Below are 27,631 nucleotides of genomic sequence, written 5' to 3' on the forward strand. Positions count from 1 at the left end.
TAAAGGGATTTTACAATCCACAAACATACAACAAACCTCTGAAATATGTACTTCCTAAACATTGTATTTTTAAAGCTTACATAGACATCAAACTTAAAATGCAACGGATATAGCTATCTCAGGAAAAATCAACTCTCCATAGTTAAGAAAGAAACAACCCTGACGTGTATTTAGGGGACTCACTCAGCAGGGCAGCCACTGTGGTATTCCTCCGGGAAGCCCCCTTTGGTGTTTGCTGTCAACAAGGTGCATGTTAAGGCATCCACCTGGAGAGTGACAGGGATACACTCCAACAAGCAGAATTATCAGCCACTCACCCTGATGACAGCTCTTCTTTCTCCAGAGCTTAAAGACTTGGGGCAGACAAAGTCTCACTTTAACAATTTCAAGTTGGTTTAATACACAAGAACAAAAAAAGATGAGATTCAAAAATACCCTTGGCCACTTTAGAATGGCAAAGAGAATTACAAAATGTCATTGTTGAAACTGAATCACTAGGTGCAATATTCAGATTTATCCTCTGGAAAAGATTGGATGTTCCCTGCCAGGTGTTTAATCAAGAATACAAATCAAAATGGGCAGTAAAATGCTTACTTTCAAAGAGCTGTGTTAACTTTATAATCTACTCACACACCAGTTAGGCTCTATAGTGACTGACTGATGGCAGAGACAGAAAAGAGTTAATTCACTGCTGGCAAAAATCCCTTACTCAGGACCCACACACTATCTTATTAGAACAAGAGAACTACAAATAGACCTACATTTGTCTGTCTTTGGGGTCAATAAAAAAAATTTAAAATATATTAATACATGAGCTTTTGCAAGCTATTCTTGTTTGCTTTTCAAACTTTTTAAAAATTTAAATTCTAAAATTTATTTTTTTTAATTCTAGAAATAAATGTGAAGCCTGGTTTTTAGGAATACCTGTAACAATCTCTCCCTAGGAAAATAAAGACTCACATAGCCCTTCAGGAAACATGGATAACATTAAATAATTCATATGTTTTGAGACATGAGTTATATTTCTGATATTGGGTATTTATAACTCCCTTTTGAAGTTCATGTTCAGATTCAGATTTTACAATATCACCATTACAGCAAAATTGGGATTGTGACTTGATTATATAAGACCACTTATCCTTACCTTTGGACTTATATTTTGTTTTTCAGTTAAACAAAGGAAGGCGTGTGGAACACTCAACATTGTGGGAAAACATGTAGATTTTGGATACACTGGATAATCTTAATGCAATGTAGGTACACATGAAGTCAGAATTTGGTTGCAAGCTATAATTAATTTTCAGAAATACTTTCCCTCTCTCCCTCTCCTCTTCCTTCCTCTCCCTTTTTCTCTTTTCTCTCCTCCTTGCCATCCCCTCTGTTTGCTCTCCCTTTCTCTCTTTTTCCAAATTAATTTTTGTCTTAGAAATGCATAATGATAGACATCTGAGAAGCCAGTGGTAAAGTCACTAATAATATACATAAGCCAAGAGATTATTGGAATTACCCAGTTAAATTATTTTGACTGGGCAATTCTACAATAACTGGGAGTCTTTCTAAAAATACTCTGTTGCCAGACTAATGTTTTTCTTTAAGAAATTGTTTTTTGCCTGAGTTGACAAAATCAATGAAGCTCTCTACTTTGGAATTTTCCAATTACATGATGATGCCTCTAAAAGTTTCAGTCTATTCAAGTTTAGTTGATCTTATCAAAATATATGAGAAATAACTTAGTGTCTATATTTGTACATACCCAATTTTATGAGTGAAGATTCATATTAAATGATTTTGTGGCTCTTTGTCAAATGTTGAATACTTTTCAATGTACTTAAAATGTTGAAAAGCCATCATTTGGTAAAAGGAGAAATAATAAAGCAAGGGTCAAGTCATTTGACTCATTGGGAAAATCAAAACAAACCGAGTGATATATACATAATGCAATTTGAAGCATTTTTTATTTTTATTAAATTACAGCACAGAGAAGGGAGTAAAAGTGGTTTCTGCTTGGTTTAGGCTGAAATGACCTTATTTTGTTCTTACTGTTTGAGAATGCCCACCATAAATGAATACATTTCCATAAAATGCCCGTAAAACATACATGCATGTTTAATCCTTGACTTTTTACGATGAGATTGCTGTATTAGCTGAAGTTTTAGTCACTCTTCTGCATCCATAGTCTTAAACATTGTATTTTCACAATGTTTAATCTTTTCCACATCTCTGTTAGTATGAGCTTAGAGAATTTAAGTAAACTTAATTGTATTGGGGTCTGTGGATAGTTTTAAAAACTAAAAATAAGCAGGTTTTAAATATGCCACTTTGGGGATTGGCAAGATGGCCAAATAGGAACAGCTCTGGTCTGCAGCTCCCAGCAAGACCAACGGAGAAGGCGGGTGATATTTCTGCACTTCCAACTGAGGTACCCAGTTCATCTCATTGGGACTGGTTAGACAGTGGGTGCAGTCCACGGAGGGCAAGCAGAAGCAGGGTGGGGTGCCCCTCACCCAGGAAGTGCAAGGGGCTGGGAACTCCATCCCCTAGCCACAGGAAGCTGTGAGGGGCTGTGTCACGAGGGATGGTGCTATCTGGCCCAGATACTATGCTTTTCCCATGGTCTTCACAACCCTCAGACCAGGAGATTCTCTCAGGTGCCTACATCACCAGGGCCCTGGGTTCCAAGCACAAAACTGGGCAGCTGTTTGGGCAGACACTGATCTAGATGCAGGAGTTAGTTTTCATACCCCAGTGGCACCTGGAACCCCAGCGAGACAGAACTGTTCACTCCTCTGGAAAGGGGGCTGAAGCCAGGCAGCCAAGTGGTCTTGCTCAGCGGATCCCACCTCCATGGAGCCCAGCAAGCTAAGATCCACTGGCTTGAAATTCTTGCTGCCAGCACAGCAGTCTGAAGTCAACCTGGGATGCTTGAGCTTCGTCGGAGGAGGAGGGTTGTTCACCATTACTGAAGCTTGAGTAGGCGGTTTTCCCCTCACAGTGTAAACAAAGCCATTGGGAAGTTCAGACTAGGCGGAGCCCACCACAGCACCACAAAGCCACTGTAGCCAGACTGCCTCTCTAGATTCCTCCTCTCTGGGCAGGGCATCTTTGAAAGAAAGGCAGCAGCCCCAGTCAGAGGCTTACAGATAAAACTCCCATCTCCCTGGGACAGAGCACCTGGGGAGAGGGGTGGCTGTGGGCCCAGCTTCAGCATACTTAAAGGTTCCTGCCTGCTGGCTCTGAAGAGAGCAGCAGATCTCCCAGCACAGTGCTCAAGCTTTGCTAAGGGACAGACTACCTCCTCAAATGGGTCCCTGAACCTCGTGGGTCCTGACTGGGAGATACCTCCCAGCAGTGGTTGAAAGACACCTCATACAGGAGAGCACTGGCTGGCATCTGTCTGGTGCCCCTCTGGGATGAAGCATCTGGAAGAAGCTTTACTATTCTGCAGACTCCACTGGTGATACCCATGCAAACAGTGTCAGGAGTGGACCTCCAGCAAACCGCAGCAGACCTGCAGAAGAGGGGCCTGACTGTTAGAAGGAAAACTAACAAACAGAAAGCAAGAACATCAACATCAACAAAAAGGACACCCACATAAAAACCCCATCCAAAGGTCAATAGCATCAAAGATCAAAGGTAGATAAACCCACAAAGATGAGGAAAAACCAGTGCAAAAATGCTGAAAATTCCAAAAACCAGAATGCCTCTTCTCCTCCAAAGGATCAAGACACCTTGTCAGCAAGGGAACAAAACTGGATGGAGAATGAGTTACACAAATGGACAGGAGTAGGCTTTAGAGGGTGGGTAATAACAAACTCGTCTGAGCTAAAGGAGCATGTTCTAACCAATGCAAGGAAGCTAAGAACCTTGATAAATGGTTAGAGGAATTGCTAACTAGAATAACTAGTTTAGAGAAGAACATAAATGATCTGATGGAGCTGAAAAACACAGCACAAGAACTTCATGAAGCATACACAAGTATCCATAGCTGAATTGATCAAGTGGAAGAAAGGATATCAGAGATTGAAGATTAACTTAATGAAATAAAGCATGAAAACAAGATTAGAGAAAAAAGAATGAAAAGGAACAAACAGAGCCTCCAAGAAATATGAGACAATGGGAAAAGACCAAACCTATGATTGATTGGTGTATCTGAAAGTGACAGAAAGAATGGAACCAAGTTGGAAAACACACTTCAGGATATTATCCAGGAGAACTTCCCCAATCTAGCAAGACAGGCCAACATTCAAATTCAGGAAATACAGAGAACACCAATAAGATAGTCATTGAGAAGAGCAACACCAAGACATATAATCATCAGATTCACCAAGATTGAAATGAAGGAAAAAAAATGTTAAGGGCAGTCAGAGAGAAAGATTGGGTTACCCACAAAGGGAAGCCCATCAGACTAACAGTGGATGTCTCTGCAGAAACCCTACAAGCCAGAAGAAAGCGGGTGCCAATATTCAACATTCTTAAATGAATTTTCAACCCAGAATTTCATATCCAGTCAAACTAAGCTTCATAAGCGAAGGAGAAATAAATTCCTTTACAGACAAGCAAATGTTGAGGGATTTTGTGACCACCAGGTCAGCCTTACAAGAGCTCCTAAAGGAAGCACTAAATATGAAAAAGAAAAACCGGTACCAGCCACTGCAAGAACATACGAAAATATAAAGAACAAGAGCATTATGAAGAAACTGACCAAACAATGTGCAAAATAACCAGCTATCATCATAATGACAAGATCAAATTCACACATAACAATATTAACCTTACATGTAAATGGGCTAAATGCCCCAATTAAAAGACACAGACTGGCAAATTGGATAAAGAGTCAAGACCCCTTGGTGTGTTGTATTCAGGAGACCCATCTCACATGCAAAGACACACATAGGCTCAAAATAAAGGGATGGAGGAATATTTACCAAGCAAATGGAAAGCAAAAAGAAGCAGGGGTTGCAATCCTAGTCTCTGATAAAACAGACTTTAAACCAACAAAGATCAAGAGAGACAAAGAAGGGCATTACATAATGTAAGGGGATTCATGCAACAAGAAGAGCTAACTATTCTAAATATATACGCACCCAATACAGGATCATCCAGATTCATAAAGCAAGTTCTTAGAGACCTACAAAGAGACTTAGATTCGCACACAATAATAGTGGGAGACTGTAACACCCCACTGGCAATATTGGACAAGTCAATAGAGAGAAAATTAACAAGAATATTCAGGATGTGAACTCAGCTCTGGACCAAGTGGACCTAATAGACATCTACAGAACTCTCCACCCCAAATCAATAGAATATACATTCTTCTCAGCACCACATCACACTTATTCTAAAATTGACACATAATTGGAAGTAAAGCACCCCTCAGCAACTGCAGAAGAATGGAAATCATAACAAACAGTCTCTCAGACCACAGTGCATTTAAATTAGAACTCAGGATTAAGAAACTCACTCAGAACTGCACAATTACATGGAAAATGAACAACCTGCTCCTGAATGACTACTGGGTAAATAAAGAAATTAAGGCAGAAATAAATAAGTTATTTGAAACTAATGAGAACAAAGACACAACATATCAGAACTTTGGGACACAGCCAAAGCAGTGTTTAGAGGGAAATTTATAGCATTAAGTGCCCACATCAGAAAGTGGGAAGGCTCTAAAACTGACACCCAACATCACAATTTAAAGAACTAGAGAAGCAACAGCAAACAAATTCAAAAGCTAGCAGAAGACAAGAAATAACTAAGATCAGAGCAGAACTGAAGGAGATAGAGACACAAAAAACCCTTAAAAAATCAATGAATTGGCCGGGCGCAGTGGCTCATGCCTGTAATCCCAGCACTTTGGGAGGCCGAGGCGGGCAGATCACGAGGTCAGGAGATCGAGACCATCCCGGCTAAAACGGTGAAACCCCGTCTCTACTAAAAATACAAAAAATTAGCCAGGCGTAGTGGCGGGCACCTGTAGTCCCAGCTACTTGGGAGGCTGAGGCAGGAGAATGGCGTGAACCCGGGAGGCGGAGCTTGCAGTGAGCCGAGATCCCGCCACTGCACTCCAGCCTGGGCGACAGAGCGAGACTCTGTCTCAAAAAAAAAAAAAAAAAAAAAAAAAAATCAATGAATTGAGGAGCTGGTTTTTTGAAAATATTAACAAAATAGAACCCTAGCCAGACTAATAAGAAAAGGGAGAAGAATCAAATATACACAATAAAAAATGAGAAAGGGGAGATCACCACTGATCCCACAGAAATATAAACTACCATCAGGTAATACTATGAACACCTCTATGCAAATAAACTAGAAAATCTTTAAGAAATTGATAAATTCCTGGACACACACAGACACTCCCAAGTCTAAACCAGGAAGAAATCAAATCCCTGAATAGACCAATAACAAGTTCTGAAATTGAGACCATAATTAATAGCCTACCAACCAAAAAAAGCCCAGGACCAGATGAATTCACAGCTGAATTCTACCAGAGGTACAAAGAGGAGTTGGTACCATTCCTTCTGAAACTATTCTAAACAATAGAAGAAGAGGGTCTCCTCCCTAACACATTTTATGAGGCTAGCATCATCCTGATACCAAAACCTGGCAGAGACACAACAAAAAAAGAAAATTTCAGGCCAGTATCCCTGATGAACATCAATCCAAAAATCCTTAATAAAATACTAGCTAACTGAATCCAGTAGCACATCAAAAAGCTTATCTACCACGATCAAGTCGACTTCATCCCTGGGATGCAAGGGTGGTTCTACATATGCAAATCAATAAATGTAATCCATCACATAAACAGAACCAATAACAAAAAACCACATGATTATCCCTACAGATGCAGAAAAGGCCTTTGATAAAATTCAACACCCCTTCATGCTAAAAACACTCAATAAACTAGGTATTGATGGAACATATCTCAAAATAATAAGAGCTATTTATGACAAACCCATATTCAATGTATACTGAATGGGCAAAAGCTGGAAGCATTCCCTTTGAAAACTGGCATAAGACAAGGATGCCCTCTCTCACCACTCCTATTCAACATAGTATTGGAAGCTCTGGCCAGGGCAATAAGGCAAGAGAAAGAAATAATGGGTGTTCAAATAAGAAGAGAGGAAGTCAAATTGTCTCTGTTTGCAGATGACATGATTGTATATTTAGAAAACCCCATCGTCTCAGTCCAAAATCTCCTTAGGCTGATAAGCAACTTCAGCAAAGTCTCAGAACACAAAATCAATATGCAAAAATCACAAGAATTCCTATACGTCAATAATAGACACACATAGAGCCAAATCATGAGTGAATTGCCATTCACAATTGCTACAAAGAGAATGAAATACCTAGGAATATAACTGACAAAGGATGAGAAAGACCACTTCAAGGAGAACTACAAACCACTCTTCAAGGAAATAAGAGAGGACACAGACAAATGGAAAAACATTCCATGCTCATAGATAGGAAGAATCAATGTCGTGCAAATGGCCATACTGCCCAAAGTAATTTATAAATTCAATGCTATTCCTATCAAGCTACCATTGACTTTCTTCACAGAATTAGAAAAACCTACTTTAAATTTCATATGGAACCAAAAAAGAGCTCATATACCCAAGACAATCCTAAGCAAAAAGAACAAAGCTGGAGGCATCACACTACCTGACTTCAAACTATACTACAAGTTTACAGTAACCAAAACAGCATGGTACTGGTACCAAAACAGATATGTAGGCCAATGGAACAGAACAGAGGCCTCAGATATTACACCACAGATGTATAACCATCTGATCTTTGACAAACCTGACAAAAACAAGCAATGGGGAAAGGATTCCTTATTTAGTAAATGGTGCTGGGAAAACTGGCTAGTCATATGCAGAAAACTGAAACTGAAACAACAGTTGCTGGAGAGGATTTAGAGAAATAGGAATGCTTTTACACTGTTGGTGGGAGTGTAAATTAGTTTAACCTTGTGGAAGACAGTGTGGTGATTCCTCAAGGATCTAGAACTAGAAATACCACTTGACCCAGCAATCCTATTACTGGGTATATACCCAAAGGATTATAAATCATTCTACTATAAAGACACATGCATACCTATGTTCATTGCAGCACTATTCACAATAGCAAAGACTTGGAACCAAACCAAATGCCCATCAATGTTAGACTGGATAAAGAAAACGTGGCACATATATACCATGGAATACTATGTAGCCATAAAAAAGAATGAGTTCATGTCCTTTGTAGGGACATGGATGAAGCTGGAAACCATCATTCTCAGCAAACTAACACAGGAACAGAAAACCAAACTCCACATGTTCTCACTTATAATTGGGAGTTAACAATGAGAACACATGGACACAGGGAGGGGAACATTACACACCGAGGCCTATCAGGGGGTGGGTGGCAAGGGGAGGCATAGGATTAGCACAAATACCTAATGCAAGTGGGGCTTAAAACCTAGATGACAGGTTAATGGGTGCAGCAAACCACCATGGCACATGTATACCTATGTAACAAACCTGCATGTTCTGCACATGTATCCCAGAACTTAAAGTATAATAATAATTACAATAAAAAAGCCACTTCATTGTTTCCTCCATCAATCACAGCTAGTTGAAATTATATAATAAATTATGTATATAATATATGCTAAATCCCAAGCAGTTTAAGCATAATTTAACCATAATTTGAAATCAGTTACTTGAAATCAGTCCCATGAAATCAATAGAAGGAATAAAAATCTCAAATTATGTTTGGAAGATAATTGTCTAGATTAGTGGTCTCCAAGCTTGTTTAATCTTGCTTCACAGACATTATTTACTTAAAATTCTATACATCTTCTCATATAATGTAGACCTCATGAAACCCACAAAAAATAGAAATTAAAGGATCGAGATAAAAAGAGAATTAATATTTTCTTCCAATATCACAATGGAGTCTGTATACTCCACTCTGGGAACCATTAGACTGGTATACTCTTTGAAAGCCTTGTCATGTGAGAAAGAAGAATTCCTTGGTTTAATGCTGTTATTGCAGGAATTCTTAGAGTTTTTACTGTGCTACCGCACATGGTGAATTCCTGAAAGGGCAATAGAGTACTGTGTAGTGATCTAAAGAAAGACAAGTCAGAGATTCCAGATCTGGGTCTGCCACTCATGAACAATATCACTTTAGACTGGTTATTTAAACTCACTGAACTTCAGTTTTTCCATCTGTACAATGGCAATAATGATGTATCTCCTTGGGTTATTACACAGATTATATAAGAAGATGAATGTAAAGCACTTAGTCCAATGCCTAGCTTATGGGTATCTTATCGCACTAGTGTACTGTGAAAAATACTTCTGGAAATATTTCAGATTAGACTATTCACTCACTGATTATATTATTAAGATACTTTTTAAAATTTCACAAATACTTATGATTATCTCCTAAGTATAGGTGTAGTAGTAGGCTCAGGGCAACAGCATACATAGCTGAATATTCTGAAGGACTTTTAAATTATTTTTAACTCAGAAAAAAATTTCAGAACCTACCATGTGTCAGACACCATGTACTGCTCTGCAGATATGATGATGGCCGAGGCAGATAGGGTGTCTACCTTCATGAAACTTAGAGTATGAGGAAAGGACTGGTATGATTTATGGCCAGTGTTTACAAGGTAAATGCAAAATAGTTTAAAGAGTGTTCTGATAAAGGGTGAAGAAGATGGGGGCTATTGGGTTAGCTGAGGTCTGCCCATGCAAAACTTGCACATCATTTTAAACAGTTCTTACTTTATCCTAAGGAAAATAGGCCACTTTCAAGGTCAAAGGGATGAAGGGACAAAATATTAGAAAACACACAATATAAGCATGTCACTGAATATAAACAAAAGCTTGAACAAAATAACTTCACAGTTTTTCCTGTGGCAAAAATTTACTCAGACTCTAATTAATTTTTTGTTTCAGTGAAGTTTTTTTTTTTTTTTTTTATGTATCACAAATGTGTTTGTGCCTTCCGTTGCTTGCTAACTGGCAGGTGCATCACATTAACATAGCTCTTAAACCAACCAAGCAGAGCCTGATAGGTGTGGTGGGATCTGACAGTATTCATTTGATATGAAGCAATGACTCTTTGCTAAAGGGCCTGGACTGACAGACCTGCAAGGTAAAAGTCTCTGGTGAGCTTGAGAATAAACTACAGAGGTTTACTTTCCACACATGGTCTGCAAGACCAATTTGCCATAAGTATATTCAGGAGAGACCACTCTGCCTTCTGTGAATATATAGTCTCTCTATTTTAGACCTTTTTAAAAAGCAGGAAATGCTTCTGTCGGAAGGGAGAATTCTGTGAGGTTGCTAAATAATGACAAAGTGCTGGAATAAACAGAAAGGAGAACATTTGGCCTTGAGAGTTTAGTGTTCTACTGACAGTCAGTGTTCTGACAGAGGCAAACAGTCAGAGTTTGATAGTGAATAGTCTGTTCTCTGTGTAAAAGTGGACAATAACAGATGTGTAGCTCCCTAGGAATTGAGATGTAAAAATCTGCAAACTAATTTGGTTTCCATTTAGTGTAAGTAGAAACTGCCTCATGGAAATAGTTTTAAGATGAGAGGTAATGGTTCAAAAGAAATATATAAAATATCTTTTCTTATTATTTTGCTAACTTAGAAAAATATGGTTGTATATTTTTCTGCTTCCCATGATATTTCTTTGGATTAAAAAATTTTAACACAGTTTCACTGGATTGCAAAAATGTATTTTATAAACTTATAATTTATCAAATCTATTAGACTGAAATAAGATAAATATAATACAAGAAATCCTGGTTTTGTTTGAGAAGGAGTCTAAGAGTTTATGAACAAAATCAGATACACTTAATAAAACATATTGAAATATGTAGTTCAGGGAAATCTTGACACTTATATCACGATTAGATTTAGCTCCATATAACAGACAACTTATTAAAAAGCAGAGGTTTAAGCAAAATAAATTATTTCTGTCATTAACAGAAAGTTTCTTACTGAACATTTCCAGGCTAGTATGGTGGTTTTATAGTTAAGGATTTAAACTTCTTTCATCATTTTGCTTCACCATCTTAGCATGTATCTTTAATTCTCAAGGTGACTTCGTAGTCCGAGATGACTTCTGGAATTCAAGACATCTCATGGACATTCTAGACTTCAGAAAGAAGGAAGATTTGGAGGTCATGCTACTCTTCAAGAGATTTTCCAGAGGTCAATATAATACTCTAACACTTCTGCTTACATCTGATTTTCCAGAATTTAGTCCCATGGCCACATTTTAAGCTCTAAGGGAGGATAGGAAACTTAGCTGGGTACATTAGTGACCCACGTACAATCAAGAGTGCACTAATACAGTATTTGTATCTGTATGAGATGAGTATCTCTGGGCCAGTGTCCAGAGGATTCCCTGAAGTGCCCGGCTTACTCTTCAAAGCCATAAGTACTATTTCTCTGACATGCACGCAATTGCTAGCTCTGTCAAGTGGTAGAACTTTAAGTGTATGTTTCCTAGGGTGCTCCATGACCACCGTGTGATGGGGTCCACGTGTGCTCAGTGTGCATTTTCTGGAGCTGGAGACTTGAACTGGATGCTACTCAAGCACTACTTGTTTGCCAATAAGTTTGATGTGGATGTTGACCTTTTTGCCATCCAATGCTTTGATGAGCATCTGAGACATAAAACTTTGAAGACATTACAACACTGACAATTACAGGCAATTTTATGAATAATAAGGAGGATACACAAAAAATATCCTTATCTGGTTCCTCTTCCTTGTCAGCAAGCATCGGGAAAATGGTATGAAGTCCTCTTTGGGGTGGGGACTCTTAGTTTTCTTGTCAGAGAAGCTGCATGTTTTCTGCAGAACACCATTGGCTAGATATGTGATAGCATTAAATGTTCACCTAAATTTAACGTGAGGGGGAGTAAAAGTAGCCTTGAGGCCAGAGCAGGTAGCATTCTGGAAAGAGGGGACCAGGGTGCCTGGGGAAGAGGCCGATGCATAAGGTCAGCCTGTTCAAAGAGCTCAGGGACTTAGCAAAACGAGAAGATTTCACCTGTGCCAAAACTATTAAGAATTTTAAATGTGACAATTTTCCTGGTATCAATAAATTTATAGCAACAAACAACCATAAAGATACAATTGATCTGATATGTTGTATTGAAATAGAAATTTGATTTTACTGTAAATTATTTGGCTAGGCTGGTCTTGAACTCCTGACCTCAGGTGATCCACCCACCGCGGCTTCCCAAAGTACTAGGATTACAGGCGTGAGCCACCATGCCTGGCCCATCAAAGCTATTTTTTAAGAACTGAAATGTGTACACTGAAATACACATTTATAAGTGCTGCTTTTAAATATGTGCCAACCTAACTTTTTCTCTCTACAGATGCTGAAGTAGAGGGAAAAAGTGAAAGGCAGGAGGTGCTCACTTTTTCCCTGAGCAAGAGGAAAGGCAACTTCCCTCAGTTCTTATGGAATAAAAAGTGCAGGCCATTCAAAGTCTGCCTTCAACAGAGAGAAAGAGGAATCACTTTCTTGAGCACTTTTTTTCTCATTCCTGTCTCCTTGCTCCTGTCTGGGATTAGGCTTGACCTTTTAGTATTTCTTTGTAACAAGGAACTGGAAAATAAAGATTAAAACATGGTGGGAAATGAGGGATACTAAGATGTGTTGAACGGTGGGGCAATCAAACAGCTGTTGAGTTGGAGAGAGAAAGCTGGATCATATCAGAGTGGATGCTATCAAAAGAGTTATGAGCTTAACATGACAGAAAATTGCATGTTCTTGAAATATGCCATTACAAAATGTCAGCCTGACATTAAGCTGCTTTATAGAGGTATCATGTCCCTAAATAGCCTGGTGATTATTCGTGTCCCTGGAGCTCTACTTTCCTCCCTGATTTTGTAATACCTTGGCTTGTCTTTAATCACTGCAGAGTGTCACCATCTTAGAAAAATTCTTAAAAGAAAATTAATTTTGATTTCCATTGATGTCCTAGAGAGTTTTTTTTTTTTTTTTTTTTTTTTTTTTTTTTTTTTAATAGCTGGGATGGAGATGCAGCCTTCTGTCCCACAATGACAGGAGGTAGCAGTTTCCTGTAAGGGTAAGGATCCTACTTTGACCACCCTTAAAAAACAAAAGCATTTTCTATATGCCCATTATGTGTTAAGCACTTTACATGCATTATCTCATTTAATTCTCATAAAACCTATAAGGTAAGTTCTATTATTAGACTCATTGAAATTGAAGTACAGAGAGACCAAGTGACTTGCCCAAGTCACTCAGCTGGCTAGTCAGTACTAAAATGGAAATTTTAACCCAGGCAGATTGATTCTGGAGCCTATTCTTAGGTAGTTACACTGCTTTCCTCAAGGACCATGTTCCATTGAGAGGCTTAAGTTGGGAAGATAAGGTAAATTATTATGAAATATTTATAGAAAGGACAAAAGAGAGCAAGAGATAACGCATTCCACCTTTGTCTTTAGAATGGTGTGATTAAGAAAACAAAAAAACCTGGGCTGGGCTTTATACATTAAGAGAACATTCTAATAAATGCTACTGCCACCAGAAAAAAAAAAAAAAAAGAAGAGATTATTCTTGCATAAGGAGAGGCAACAGGAAGTGTGAATGAGGAGCACAAATGTGGAAAGTAAAGCTGTTTAAAAAGGAAAGCAGCTGCAAACTTCCCATCTGCAGTGTTTGTTTGTCTCGGCTCCGGCCATCACTGCCACGATTACCCCTGGATGAATTCCTCAGTGGAAATATCAACAAGGTAGGAAATGTGATAATTATATTTTCTATTGTCCCCCAAAGAACATATTAAGATGGTAGATATGGACATAATTTGGAAGAAAAGTGCTATGTAGTAGACACAATTGCTGATGAAATAAAACTAGCTGATTTTTCATCCTCTGGTATTAGCAAAAAGGCAAAGTCCCAGATGTTATTCTGTGCCTCTTCTACAGTGTAGTTGTAATTGAACAACAGCTAGGCTTATTGGATTGCTTTTTGCCTTTCTTTATAAAATAAATATATATTAAGTATATTCTAGACAATCTTCTAGAGGTCATAGTAGTAACAGTGAATGATCCAATAGATGGCTTGGGATATCACCTCATACTAGTTGGTGGGGTATAGAAAGTATTGATGCCTGTTGATGTAAAAAAGGTTTCTGGAGGGAGCTAACACTCGAGGGGGATTTTTTTGTGACTCAAAAATATTGAATATTGATATGTGATGGAATATTGATATGTTAAGCTCTCTTTCTATAACCTCCAGCTTTTCTGATGCTGTCACCTAAGATGCCTGCTAAAGCTTGTACTCTCAGCAGTCTTGCATGGCAATCTAGAAGTGTGGGAATATTAATGTCTTGTAGGGAAACCTTCAATCAAAAAGAACCATGAGACAATGGTCAAACATTTCTCTCTTTTGCCCCTTGGGCAGCCAATTGTGAGACTTTTTGTATAGCTCCTCATAAGATCTGAGTGAAATCACGCACAAGTTGCCCACAGTGATGTTCAATGCCCTGTGCGCCTTTGCACTGACTTTCTCTCCTACCCCATTTTATTCTCACTAGATCTTCTCTCCTATTTCCTGGAATCATTTCCTAAGTAAACGACCTGAATGCAATTCTTATCCAGGTTCTATTTTTATGGAGGTCCCAGACTAAGACAATGCCACATCATAATAGGAGCAACATCTATGGGCTGAGAGATGAGAGGAGTGTTTGTCAGGGTATGGTACTGGCATTTAATATGGCTTTCTCTCCTCTACCAGATATCTAAATATTGGCATTGTGGAAGGTTTCTCTAGGATTTATCTGCTCTTTTAAAATCTTCTTTTCTTTATCTACACTTTCTCTTCTTTATATTTCTCTTCTATATTTTCTCCTTAGACAATCTACAATTCTGTGGTTTTAAACACCACCTTTATTTTAATGATTCCCCTGGATTATACCTTTAGTCCTTATCTTGCTTCAGAGCACCAGCATCATATATCCAATTGTCTACATATCATCTCCCTTTGGATGTCTAACTGGCATCTTTTTCTTCATTTGTACAAAATAAAACTCTTGTTTACCTCCCAATATAATAAACGGTTTCCTACAAAAGAAGCTGTTATGCCTCTATTCTTTTTCATGGCACCACCATCTACACTATAGTTCAGACAAAGAAAACCTGATGTTGTTCTTGGTTCTAACCTTTTCACACTCTTCCCAGCAAGTTCTGAATATTATATCTCCAGAAGAGATTTAAAATTTGTCCACTTATCTACATCCCCACTGCCATTGCCCTTGTCCTAGGCATAATTATCTTTTGTCAGGACCACTCCAATAGTCTTATAAAATCTGTTAGAGATAATACCATCAGAATAGTTTAAACAGATACACAAAAGTCACTAGCCCTTTTCAAGCCTTTCAACGGTTTCCTAAGGCATCTGGAAATAAAAGTTAAAAATCTTTCCATGTTCCCAAGGCCCTATATGATCTAGGCCCTGCTAACATTAGATTTTTTCTTCTTGTACACTATTGCTATAGACTGAGTGTTTATGTGCCCCCTAGAATCACATGTTAAAACCTAACTGCCAATGTGATGGTATTTGGAAATGGGGTCTTTGAGAGGTGATCAGATCATGGGGCAAAGGTTTCATAAATGGGATTAGTGCCCTTATAAAAGAAACTCCAGGGAGCTAGTTAGTCCCTTCCATGTGAGGACACAGTGAGACTGCTGTCTATGAGCCAGGAAGTAGTCCTCACCAGAACCAAGTTCACTGGTGCTTTGATCTTGAACTTTCCAGCCTCCGGATCAGTGAGAAATACATTTCTGTTGTTTATAAGTCACCCAGTCTATGGTATTCCATTACAGCAGCTGGAGTGAATGAAGACATTTATGCACCAGCTACAGCAGTATCTTTTCATTCTCCAAAAAGCCCAGCTTCTATCTTTCCTCAGGGTCTTCCATTTCCAAACCTTCTACCTGGATAGTTCCTTTTCCTGCTTTTCATGGGCCATACTCCTTATTCTTTAGGCCTCAGTACAAATATCTCCTCCTCTGAGAGTGATTCTTGTCTTGGTGACCTGTTAAAATGCCCTCCATCCCAGTTACTGTCTATCACTACTTGTTTATTTCCTTCATAATTCTTCTCAGAAATTTTGTATTGTGTTTTGAGCCATTTTTATTTTCTTTTTATCTTTTCAATTAGAAGGTAAGCTCTGTAAGGTCAGAAGTCTTATCTTTCTTGACAAGTTTTACATTGCTAAACTAGATCTGGCAACTTTGTGGAATATAAATGAATAGGATAATTATTTTGAGAAATTCTTCCGGATGGGTGCATGTAGGAATCTTTTTTTAAAAAAAAAAATTTACACTGAGGCAAAGAATCTAATAATGTCAATTTTTCCTGTCTCAATAATCTATACATCCTTGCATCTTTGAAACCCTAATGAGACCAGGAGAGGGAAGTAAACAATCATTTTTTGTGTATGTGTGAATACACAAAGACATTCTTCTAAATCTTTACTTCTTATTTTATATGGTCAGTATTATTTTCAAGTAGGAAGCAAAACCGATGATTCATCTCTTAGTAATCAAATTTATTATAACCAATTATATTTTTTCAATAGCTTTTATCTAAATAGAATGATTACATCTGAAAAGCATGAGATTTTTATGGGAAAGGACACAACTTCAATTCTATTCAGTCTATAATGTTTTCTCTTTTTATAAAAATGACTTGGCTAACTTCTTGTAATATAACCCTGCCACACACAGAATGAAATTCTTAGTACTTCTTAACTCTTCCCCTCTTAAGTCATTCTGTCTTTCAGATACACACAAATTCATTGTCTCAATTCCTTTCAAAGACCCATGTATCCGAAACTTCAATACCTTTTATTTACAAATGCTTCTTTTACTCTCGTTTCAGTTTTCATACCTGCCACATCAGGATGTGGTGCCCAGCTTTTTCATGTCATCACAGGCTGGATGTATTTGCTTCATTTTGTGATTCTGGGGCAGAGGGCCCTGAGTTCACTTTGGTAGCCTTATTCTAAAATTTGGTGCCAAATATCACAAGTGTCAAAGGAATAAATGTTTTTTATTTTTATGGTGAAAATAATGATAAAGCAAGTCCAGTCCTGTGTTGATTAACTATTAATACCAATTTTTATTATTTCTGAAAATATCTACACACATTTATGTATATCACAGCTAACATTAAATTCTTAGGCAATTTTTTTCTTAAAATCTTATATTAGAGCATCTTGCAGCTTTTTGTAATTTAGGATTTCTCATACTGAATTTTCCTAAAGAGAGACGCATGTCTATTGTTTATGATTTAGTTTCTTGATATGTAATAACTGTATCATGGGTTTTGTAAAGCAACTGGGCTGTAATGCATAGATTTGTTAATATTGTACTCTCGGTTTGCCAAAATGACATGAAATAATTTGATTTTATATATTGCTCTTGATGCCCCTTGTTACTCTCTTATACCTAGCTAGACTTTGAGATTTTACAATACATAGATTTTCTGTACTCTAACCTCAGGGAAAACTCATTACCACTTTTTCTTTTCTTTTCTTTTCTTTTCTTTTCTTTTTTCTTTTTTTTTTTTTTTTTTGAGATGGAGTCTCTCTCTGCTGCCCAGGCTGGAGTGCAGTGGTGCAATTTCGGCTCACTGCAACCTCACCCTCCTGGGTTCAAGCGATTCTCGAGCCTCAGCCTCCTGAGTAGCTGGGATTATAGGCGCATGCCACCATGCCCGGCTAATTTTTGTATTTTTAGTAGAGACGGGGTTTCACCATGTTGGTCAGGTGGGTCTCGAATTTCTGACCTCGTGATCCACCCGCCTCAGCGTCCCAAAGTGCTGGGATTACAGGCGTGAGCCACTGTACCTAGCCACCACTTTTGTTAATTACTTGATGGGTATGAGAAGTACCTGCTTGGTGATCAGTCTCACTAATGGGTCTTGTCTCAACTAACTTGAAAAGAACCCAGAAGAAGATTTGATGTATTTGATCAGTCAAGTGCTATCCTTGATTCATCTGAGTGATTTCTATCCTCTTCACCTCTTTCTGTCTGTGCTCCATGTTTAATAATCAAATGCTCTTACCATCAGTGCAGAGGGGTCCAGACCTCCCATATGGGCAGAGGCAGACAATATCTGTTCCGGATTTTGGAACACAGGTGGCACCATTTCCACATGGGTTGTTTTCACAACTTGCAAACTGGCACAGCTTGCCTGAATACAGCCTTGGACACTCACAAAACAGATTTTCATTATCACTGAGAAGGGAAAAAATTTAAAAATTCATTAGGAAACAACTGATATTTTCTACACACATACACATATATACACATGCATGAACACATATGCAAATAAAATTATAATTGCATCTTTTCTAATAAGTGACTTTTTTCTCCCTCTTTTCTGTTTCAACTTTTGAATATTTGTAGCTGTGTGCTTTCCACTGAAAGCAGATTAATAGCTTTATAGATTATCTGAAGCCATGAATTCTATTTTAAGCCATCTATTTTTATTTTTGATTTGTCTCATCTTTTATTTCACACTGGGTGCCTTTTCAGGGCTTCATTGAATATGTGTGGTGCTGCCTTAATAAAGTGCATCAAATGTCTATTAGCAAAAAACATCTTAGACTCAAAGCTCAGAGGAGAATTTTAAGCTGGTGATAAGCTTCCCCACTCTGAGGACAAAGTCCTCCAAGAGCTGCATTTGTAGTAATTCTGAAAATAAGACACAGTGGGGAGCTATAATGACTATATAACTCTTCAGCTTAAAATATGGTTTGGTGGCCCCAGGCTGTGAGTGTGCATGAAAGCAGAGCTCAGGAAAAATACTCCTCTTACCTGCCAGGGAAGCATTCTCAAGAGGGAGAAGTGACTTGGAGTTTGTTATTTCTGCCTCTCTGCATCCATTGCCCCATTTAAAGTAACAGATGCCTTCGTTTTCCTTTCCAAGACCCACCCCTCCACCATTCTCAGCCCATGTTGTCTGGGAGACACAGTCTCCACTCGGTGCCAATCATAGTGTATAGTGCAGGGTGGATACATGACACGCTAGGCCAACTGGCCAACCTCTGCTAGAACTCTCCAGAGAGTACTCTTTTTATCTGCTGGTGTTGCTACACTGGTAATTGATGGTGGCGTGTGCCTGTCCAGAGGGAAGAGCCTAGCTGAGAATAAATAGCTAATACTTAGCAATGTAAATATAAGTGACAGAGAAATATAGATTATTGATTATCTGGGTACCAGATCTAGCCAGTACTCTGTAGTTATGTGAGACAATATATTCCACTGCTTTTACATTTTTAAAGCCAGTTTGATTTGGGATTTTGTCACTTGAAGTTAAAGAATTCCATTTAATCTTTTCTTTTTTTTTTTGCTCTCTTATTACATTAGTTCATACACCTTGCCATATACAGATCTTAGGAGTTTACATCTTATCTTCTCAATGCGACTGTTAGCTCTTAAGCATAGGTGCCAGGATCAGCCCTGATAATTGGGAAACTAACATATTTTTATGTTTTTATGACACAGCCTCCCAGTCTAGTTGTAGATCTTACCCATACCATGAATTTTTCCCCAGCTATCTGTATGGTTTCTCAATACCTTCCTCATGTCTTTGAATCCCCTTACTCCAAAATTTGTGTGTAGGAAAGAACCATTTTTTTCATCATAATGAGACCTGACTTAGAAATATGAAGGTGTTTCCTTTTCTAAAAATATTCATATTTTAATATTCTCCATGATAATGTTGTGAAACACTATGAAAGTTTATGTATCAGATAGCAGATAAAGCTGGCTTTGGTGGGGTTGTAAGGCTTTGAGACCTTCAGATTTTGCCAACTCATAAGGCTTATCCTGTAAGTAATCAGTAATTTATGCATTTTATAACCTTCATGGAAACCTGCATAGCATTCTACACATTGCAGACAGATATGGAATCTCATAAGTTTTCAGAATTGGGAAAAAATTATATATCGATGCCCCTAAGATGGTTATAAAGTATCCTGAGCAAGATTTTCTGTTTCCGAGAAATAAAGTTTTGAGGACTGCTTAGCTAATGCTGTTCCTTGTTTCCTGAGAATAGCGATAAAAGCACAGCCGGACCACCTAGCAGGTACAGAAATATTTCTGGTGTGACCTAAAGTATACGTTAGAAACTTAATGTTGTTTGGGGGTAATGGATAAATCTGATATAACTTTGCTTCCACTGACCTTACTTGGAGTTGAAAGGTCAGTATTAAGCATTTGTATTCTGGGATAAAGTCTAGGAAAGTAGCATTCTTGAGAGCTGCCTTCTGGAAGGACCAAATTAGTCTTTTTCAGATCAAGGAGAATGCCTCATATGTGAAAGTCAAACTAATCTAAGCATTGATTGATTTAAATGCTTTAATCATATAAAGCTAAACAGATTTGGCATGCAGGAAAGATGATTTTATGGTGAAAACCAAGGAAAGCACTATTTTTAATCAGGTCCTATTGATAAATCAAGCCCCATTTCCTCTTTCTGCTTTCATCAGGTGTTGTCAGAAGTTGGTTGTGTAAATTCATGCGGAGACGACTAACTGTGTGCATCTGTATGTCAGCAGGCAACTAGAGTAGAGAGAGAACTAGAAATTTTATAGAAAACTCTCCAAGAAAAGGGAAGCTCACCATATCTAACCAAGGGCAAGTGTTCAGAGTCTTCTGGCCTGTCTTGATATCCCATTAGCACCTCATTAGCAAGAGTCAGCTTTACTCAATTGAGATGTTGCCAGATGATGGCACTTCAAATTGTACCTCAAAGTTCCAAAAGACTTCTTGGAGTGTCAGACATTTCACCAGTAGTTTTTGTTTTCTAAATCTATCTTTGCTATCGTCTGTGTTATACCTGGACTCAAAGGTTTCTCCTATCCAGATCTTGTCAGATCCTGTTATTAAATCACAACTTCTTCAAAAGCTACCAAGCCTGCTGTTTTCTCTGCCACTTGACCTACTTTGATGTCTCTCTACATCTTGTAGCAAAAGGCAGTGTTGACCCAGAAAGGGAATGCTCTAAGACTGATGGATCTTATGTAAGACAGTTGACTTTTGGAAATAGTTTTCAAAACAGTGTCACCCTCTTTTGCTCAGTTTACTTTAAATATTACATTATTGCTGTGAATTAGTCACTGCTTATTATAATTAGCTTTGAGAGAATATATTTATATGAAATATATTTTTTTCATGGAATATATCTTTTCATCCCTAAATTTTTAAAAATTTTATCCTTCACAAGACCTGTAAACCACATAGAAACCTTTTTTTGGAAATTGTCCTGTAAGCAAGTCAGGAGATTTTTCTGAATTAAAAGTAGGTCTGCGAAATAATCCAGATTATGGTGAAGTTTTTACCTATACACCAGAGGACCATATTTATTTTGGCAATTGCTGCCATCCAAAGTTTGTTGTGCACCTACATCATGGATGGATCCATGTGCCAAGTGGTGAATAAGACTCGCTTTTGCATTCTTTGTAGGAGACATCATAAAGGCACGAACAAATCTCTGTAAGATACATAGTATGTGACAAAGGAATAGAGAAAGTATCAAGTATTTTAAGGCCTTAGCTCTGTAATATGTGGATTCAGATGACAGTAGTTACTAAAAGCTGGTCTGTGAACTGGCACCAAAGGATTACCAGGGACTCTCCTGAATGCGTTTGCTAAATGCAGATTTCCATGCTCCTCTTGCCCTCTGAGATTCTGATTTAGAATGTCTAAAGTAAGGCTCAAGAGTCTGCCTTTAAAAAATGTCATTAGGAGACTCTTTTGCATAGCCTACTTTTACTTAAACCCATCCCTCTGAGACAAATATTCTCTCCAGAGTGAAAGCTTGATGGGCATTAGTTATTATTGTGTCCTTACAGGATATTATAATTTTATTTCTGTTTTTGGGCTATGTTTTGACTTTTGACCAACATATATCTGAAAACACATATATCCGTCAAAGTACAAAGATGAGAAGGTTTTCATTTTAGGAGTGCCATATACAGTCTACTGCATGTGCATTATGTTTAACTTCAACATAAAAGAGGAAAAAATTCACTCGGTCATTTTAAAGCTTAGTTAAAAAAATACCACCTATCTAAGCATATGCCAACAACTATATATTTTGGAATTGTAACTGCTACGGGATATTTGATTACAAGTCTACAATACGGTAAGAATATTAACTGTCATTTCTATGAGTATTAAAAGTTACCTTTAGAAAAATTTAGCTGATTAAAAAAAATCAAAGAAGCTGGCTTGAAAAGGGTGCCCACTACTTATATAACACAGCTAGATGCCAAAAATCTTCTAGAACTAAAAGGACTCCTGCATGTATTAACTTAAAAAAATAAATAACTCTTCTTGCACTCTTTGTATCTAACAGATCATTAGCCGATTTCAAAGTTGGCCACCCACAGTGTCAAGAGAGGGAGGTTCTCAGCAGGAAAGAGTGCAGAAATGAATCCTTATGAATAATGTCTCCAGATAGTTCTGAAAAATAAAATTGCTACTGGCGGAAATAACCCATCTCTATGTATCGGCTCTGATAGCACCACAGCCCAGGCTTTAGGAGGTATGCAAATGAGATCCCAAGTAGCTGTGGTTCAAGTAGAACTTTCCATCTTTTTCATGAATTTCACAACACCATGATAAGAGCCTGCTAATTACAAAGAATACTTCCCCTCTCCCCTGCAAGAATCTTCCTTAAAAAATTGGAATTTCTGTCAAATGAGTTGTTAGCTGTGTGTGGAGACTCTGGCTCTAGTACTGTAGATAGATTTTTCTTTGTCTGTTTCTAGGACAGAACTGCCTAAATGGATGTTATTTTGTGCTGTAAGGCACACCACTACGTGTGTCATTTTTCATTTATAACTTTTTAAAAGTAGCCAAGCATGAAAATAATGGGAAAAAAATGCAAAACCAAAATTACTTTGTGGTGGCCTAGAAAGTGAACTTGGAGAAACATAGTCTATATAATATACCCATGAACAGAGAGCTCAGGGAAAATGTCCTCTGCTATAGAAACTTTTTTCTTTATATGAAAGGGTTTTTCTAAAGGCAGGAACAAGATAAGAAAGGGTAAGAGCAAATAAAAGTCATAGAATGACATAGGAATAAATAATACATAAAATGGAAAATCCATAAACAATTAAAAACACTTTTTTTCTTGTTCTAGTATCTGTCCAATTTAATCTTGTAGGCATTTTGCAAAGAAAAATGGAATATATGGTATAATCTCTCGCCTTCTCTCTTCCCTCTTCCTTCTTTCTTTCTCTCTCTGACAGGCATGGTTCACTTTACAAAAAAATAAACTTCATTGGTAAAGAAAAATGACCAAAATTTCTTCCCCAGCAAGTGCATCAGGATCTCCTTTCCAGAAAGAGATATCTTTTCCATATCTCTGGCCTTGTGACCCTCTAGTTCTTATGAAATGAAATTAAAGTTTTGCTTCCAAGGGAGCAGACTTGGAGAACATGAAGCCCAAAAGGGGAGCTAACATAGTAAACATGGCCATTATCTAAATACATTAAATGAGGTATGTGTGAGAATGTGCCCAGCACAGTACTTGGCATTGATCAGCTGCTCATTATATATTAGGAAAAGGAGGTAAGAATAAATGAAACATGTAATTAGTTGTGTCTGAATCAGTTAATGGTGGAATAAGACAAATATGATGAAATCTGGTACAAAGAGAAGTGGGTTGGGAAAGAAGGATAAGGTGTAGGGTATTGTGGGTGAAAAAATAAAATAATGCATTAATAATTGTTTGTCAAATGAATGTATCATTTCAGTGTCTAGAATTACCCTCCCCCCATAAAAAAAATCTCAGGATCTTAGAATTATACTCTGTGCCCAAACTACAATTTCATAATAAATTTTTCTCACTCTGTGCTCACTGTAAAATTAGCCAGTCTCCAGCCCCCTGCATGGTAAGGGCAATCTGGGCAGGATTCAATATAACAGAATCTGTAAATGCAGTGCTTATGAAGCTCTGGAGCTCTCAGGTAATTTCCTGTAAAGATAATGTGCCTATTTTGAAGCTATTTAAGGCTAGAAGAGTTGGTATGAGCTTTTAAAATGTTATTTTAATTTCCACTAAAAAGACATAAAAAATTATCTTAAAATATTTAAGCCAGCAAAGTGCCATTTCACCCATTCCCCTGACCTCAGTAATGTTCACATACACACAGTTTCTACTCAACTGTTACCATGGTGAATTCACCAGTTATCAGGAAGGTAGAAACACAGCACACAACGTCGATGGTTGTTCTTTTCTGATATTAAGAATTATTTACAAAATTGCTGTGGGTGGAAAATTTATTCCTTAAAAATGAATAGTAGATAACAACTCTCTAGAAAGGTATACATTTATGAACCCAAAGTATCCTTTATGGGTATTCCTATGTTGAATTTGCAATGAGAATTTAATTTTTTTTGCAGTTTCTCACTTATTCCACAGCCTTTCTTTTGTCAAATCTTTACACTCCAATTTTGAGTTGGAAAAAAAGCAAGAAATTTAGAGGTGTTCTTGCTTCTAAATATGTTGATTTGGCAGGCTTGCTCTAAAAGTAGTTTGTGTCTGCCACTTAGAGCAAGCAGGTGACTTTTGGAATTGTCCCAAATCTCTTTATATAGAGTCAGTGTACTGAGCAATGTAAACCAGAGATTACTAACTGGCAAGATGTTTAATGCCTACCTCTTGAACCCCGTGGTATATTTAGATTATAATCTGAAGCCTAGAGATGAAGTTAGGTGCACAGTTGTAAGGGACAATATAAAATTCACCACTTCATCAAAATTCATCAAATTTGATTAAATATCAAATTCTCCTTCTACCCAATCGTTGTTCAGATCTTTCCCAGTCCTGTGATCTCTGCTCAGAGGAAGTGACTTCACTTCCTACTCTATAGATAAAATTTTAGCCTTCAGCACCTCTCTTGACTTCCACATTATCTCTTCCAGCACTTATTCTCCATCCTTTTTTCCTCTTACCCCAATTCCCAATAACAAGTATTTCTTTCCAATGCTAGAATTTCACTTAATTTAATCCTATCAATATATTTGAAGCATAGAGTATAAGTAGATCTGAGCTGAGATGCAAGAAGCGGCCTTGGTCCTTTTAAGAATTTTCACTTTAACTTATTGGCAATAGACATTGAAACGTTTTTGATGAGGGAATGAATTATATTATGTTTTAGAATTATTATTCTGGGGAAAATGTCTGGAGAACAGTAAACCCAGGGACAGAGTTTTCCCCGTTATTAATTTATCATCTGCTGGGCGTGGTGACTCATGCCTATAATCTCAGCATTTTGGGAGGCTGAGGTGGGCAGATCACTTGAGGTCAGGAGTTCAATCCCATCCTGGCCAACATGGTGAAACCCCATCTCTACTAAAAATACAAACAATTAGCTGGGTGTGGTGGCACATGCCTGTAATTCCAGCTACTCAGGAGGCTGAGGTGGGAGAATCACTGGAACCCAGGAGGTGGAGGTTTCAGTGAGCCGAGATCATGCCACTGCACTCCAGCCTGGGCAACAGAGTGAGACTCCATCTCAAAAAGAAAGAAAAAAAAAGAATGTGTTGTTTGTTAGTTCCAAATCTACCCTTTATAATCCTTCCTTGTGATGCTGGAGCTGGACCCTGTAAACACATTCCCTTTGCCAACTGGGGGGATGTTAAGCTTTGTCAGTAGAGGGCACTTGGGACACTGAAGGAAGAAGAGGTTCTCTTCCTAGCTCTGCCGTTCTTTCCTGTCTTCTTACTCCTGCTGGAGGCACGCGCAGGAAACTCAGTGCTGCTCACCCCCAGCAAGTTCCACAGCACCTCCCCTGGAGAATTACCACCAGGAGACAGCCCATGACCCACCCAACTTTCCAGCTTCTAGGTGTCCCAGTGGGCAAATTCTTAGCAAGTTCAGCAGCACCTTCAAGTGTGGCTTTCTAGTAAGTTTTCCTGGACCTTATAGTGAGTGGCTTGAAACAGTTTCATAGACGCCCCAGTGGGCAGGAATTCTAGCAAGTTCAGCAGCATCTTTGTGGTGGCTTCTCAGTGAGCTCCCTAGAGTCCCAGAGGGTAGCTTCCCAGTGCATTTCAGCAGCGCCCCATTATATGGCTTCTTCTTTCCCAGTCTTGGACTGGGGTATCACAGTGAACTTTTCTGTCACTCAATGGCCACACTCTCCATCGTGCTCTGCATACCAGGTGGTGTGTGTGTGTGTGTGCACAAGTGTGTAGGTATGTGTGTGTAAGTGTGCATGTGTGTGTGTATGTGTGTGAGTGTATATGTGTGTCTTCTGATTTGTTCCTTGGAGCACTGTTTCTCAGCCCTAGAGGTAGGAATGGCTCCTACATCCACTATACCTAAATATGGTTTTTTTTTTTTTTTTTTTAGACCTAGTCTCGCTCTTGTCACCCAGGCTGGAGTGCAGTGGTGTGAATTCGGTTCACTGCAGCCTCCACCTTCTGGGTTCAAGCAATTCTCCTACTTCAGCCTCTCAAGTAGCTGGGATTACAGGCACATGCCGCCATGCCTGGCTAATTTTTGTATTTTTAGTAGGGATGATGTTTTGCCATGTTGGCCAGGATGGTCTCAACTCCTGACCTCAGGTGATCTGCCTGCCTTGGCCTCCCAAAGTGCTGGGATTACAGGCGTGAGCCACCATGCCTGGCCCACCTAAAATATTTAATGTACTCTTTGCATCTTAAAAATTAATCCCATGTTACTGGATAATAAATCTTCATATTAAACTTTCCTAAATTACTGTGTGGCTCTGTCTCTTGACCAAACCCTGAGTTATACACAGAAATCCAAGCAGAAGTGTAGATAAGCTTAGTGGAAGTGGGCATGGAGAGAAATAATTTGAGAGATGCTCAGGGAGAAAAATATCTTTTTTTGTTTTTTATTTTTTTATTATACTTTAAATTCTAGGGTACATGTGCACACGTGAAGGTTTGTTACATATGTATGCATGTGCCATGTTGGTGTGCTGCACCCATTAACTCGACATTTACATTAGGTATATCTCCTAATGCTATCCCTCCCCCCTCCCTACACCCCATGACAGGACACGGTGTGTGATGTTGCCCACACTGTGTCCAAGTGTTCTTATTGTTTAATTCCCACCTATGAGTGAGAACATGAGATGCTTGGTTTTCTGTTCTTGTGATAGTTTGCTGAGAATGATGATTTCCAGCTTCATCCATGTCCCTACAAAGGACATGAACTCATCCTTTTTTATGGCTGCATAGTATTCCATGGTATATATGTGACACATTTTCTTAATCCAGTCTATCATTGATGGACATTTGGGTTGGTTCCAAGTCTTTGCTATTGTGAATAGTGCTGAAATAAACATACATGTGCATGTGTCTTTATAGTAGCGTGATTTATATTCCTTTGGATATATGCCCAGTAATGGGATCGTTGGGTCAAATGGGATTTCTAGTTCTAGATCCTTGAGGAATCCCCCACACTGTCTTCCACAATGGTTGAACTAGTTTACAGTCCCACCAACAGTGTAAAAGTATTCCTATTTCTCCACATCCTCTCCAGCACCTGTTGTTTCCTGACTTTTTAATGATTGC

At 38.3% G+C, this 27,631-nt stretch overlaps 1 protein-coding gene and 1 pseudogene across 2 annotated transcripts in view; one reads left to right on the forward strand and one right to left on the reverse strand.

The window, feature by feature from the left end:
- Positions 1 to 27,631, reverse strand: part of EYS (eyes shut homolog) — a 1,987,247-nt gene that overhangs the window by 126,081 nt on the left and 1,833,535 nt on the right. For both annotated transcript variants that reach the window (NM_001142800.2, NM_001292009.2), the window contains exon 36: positions 18,126 to 18,298. In NM_001142800.2, coding sequence (NP_001136272.1) covers positions 18,126 to 18,298 — 173 coding nt within the window. The remainder of the gene's footprint in view (positions 1 to 18,125; positions 18,299 to 27,631) is intronic.
- GCNT1P4 (glucosaminyl (N-acetyl) transferase 1 pseudogene 4) lies at positions 11,258 to 11,710 on the forward strand (annotated as a pseudogene).

Source organism: Homo sapiens, chromosome 6, assembly GCF_000001405.40.
Source record: "Homo sapiens chromosome 6, GRCh38.p14 Primary Assembly".
In the NCBI taxonomy this organism is placed as follows: domain Eukaryota; kingdom Metazoa; phylum Chordata; class Mammalia; order Primates; family Hominidae; genus Homo; species Homo sapiens.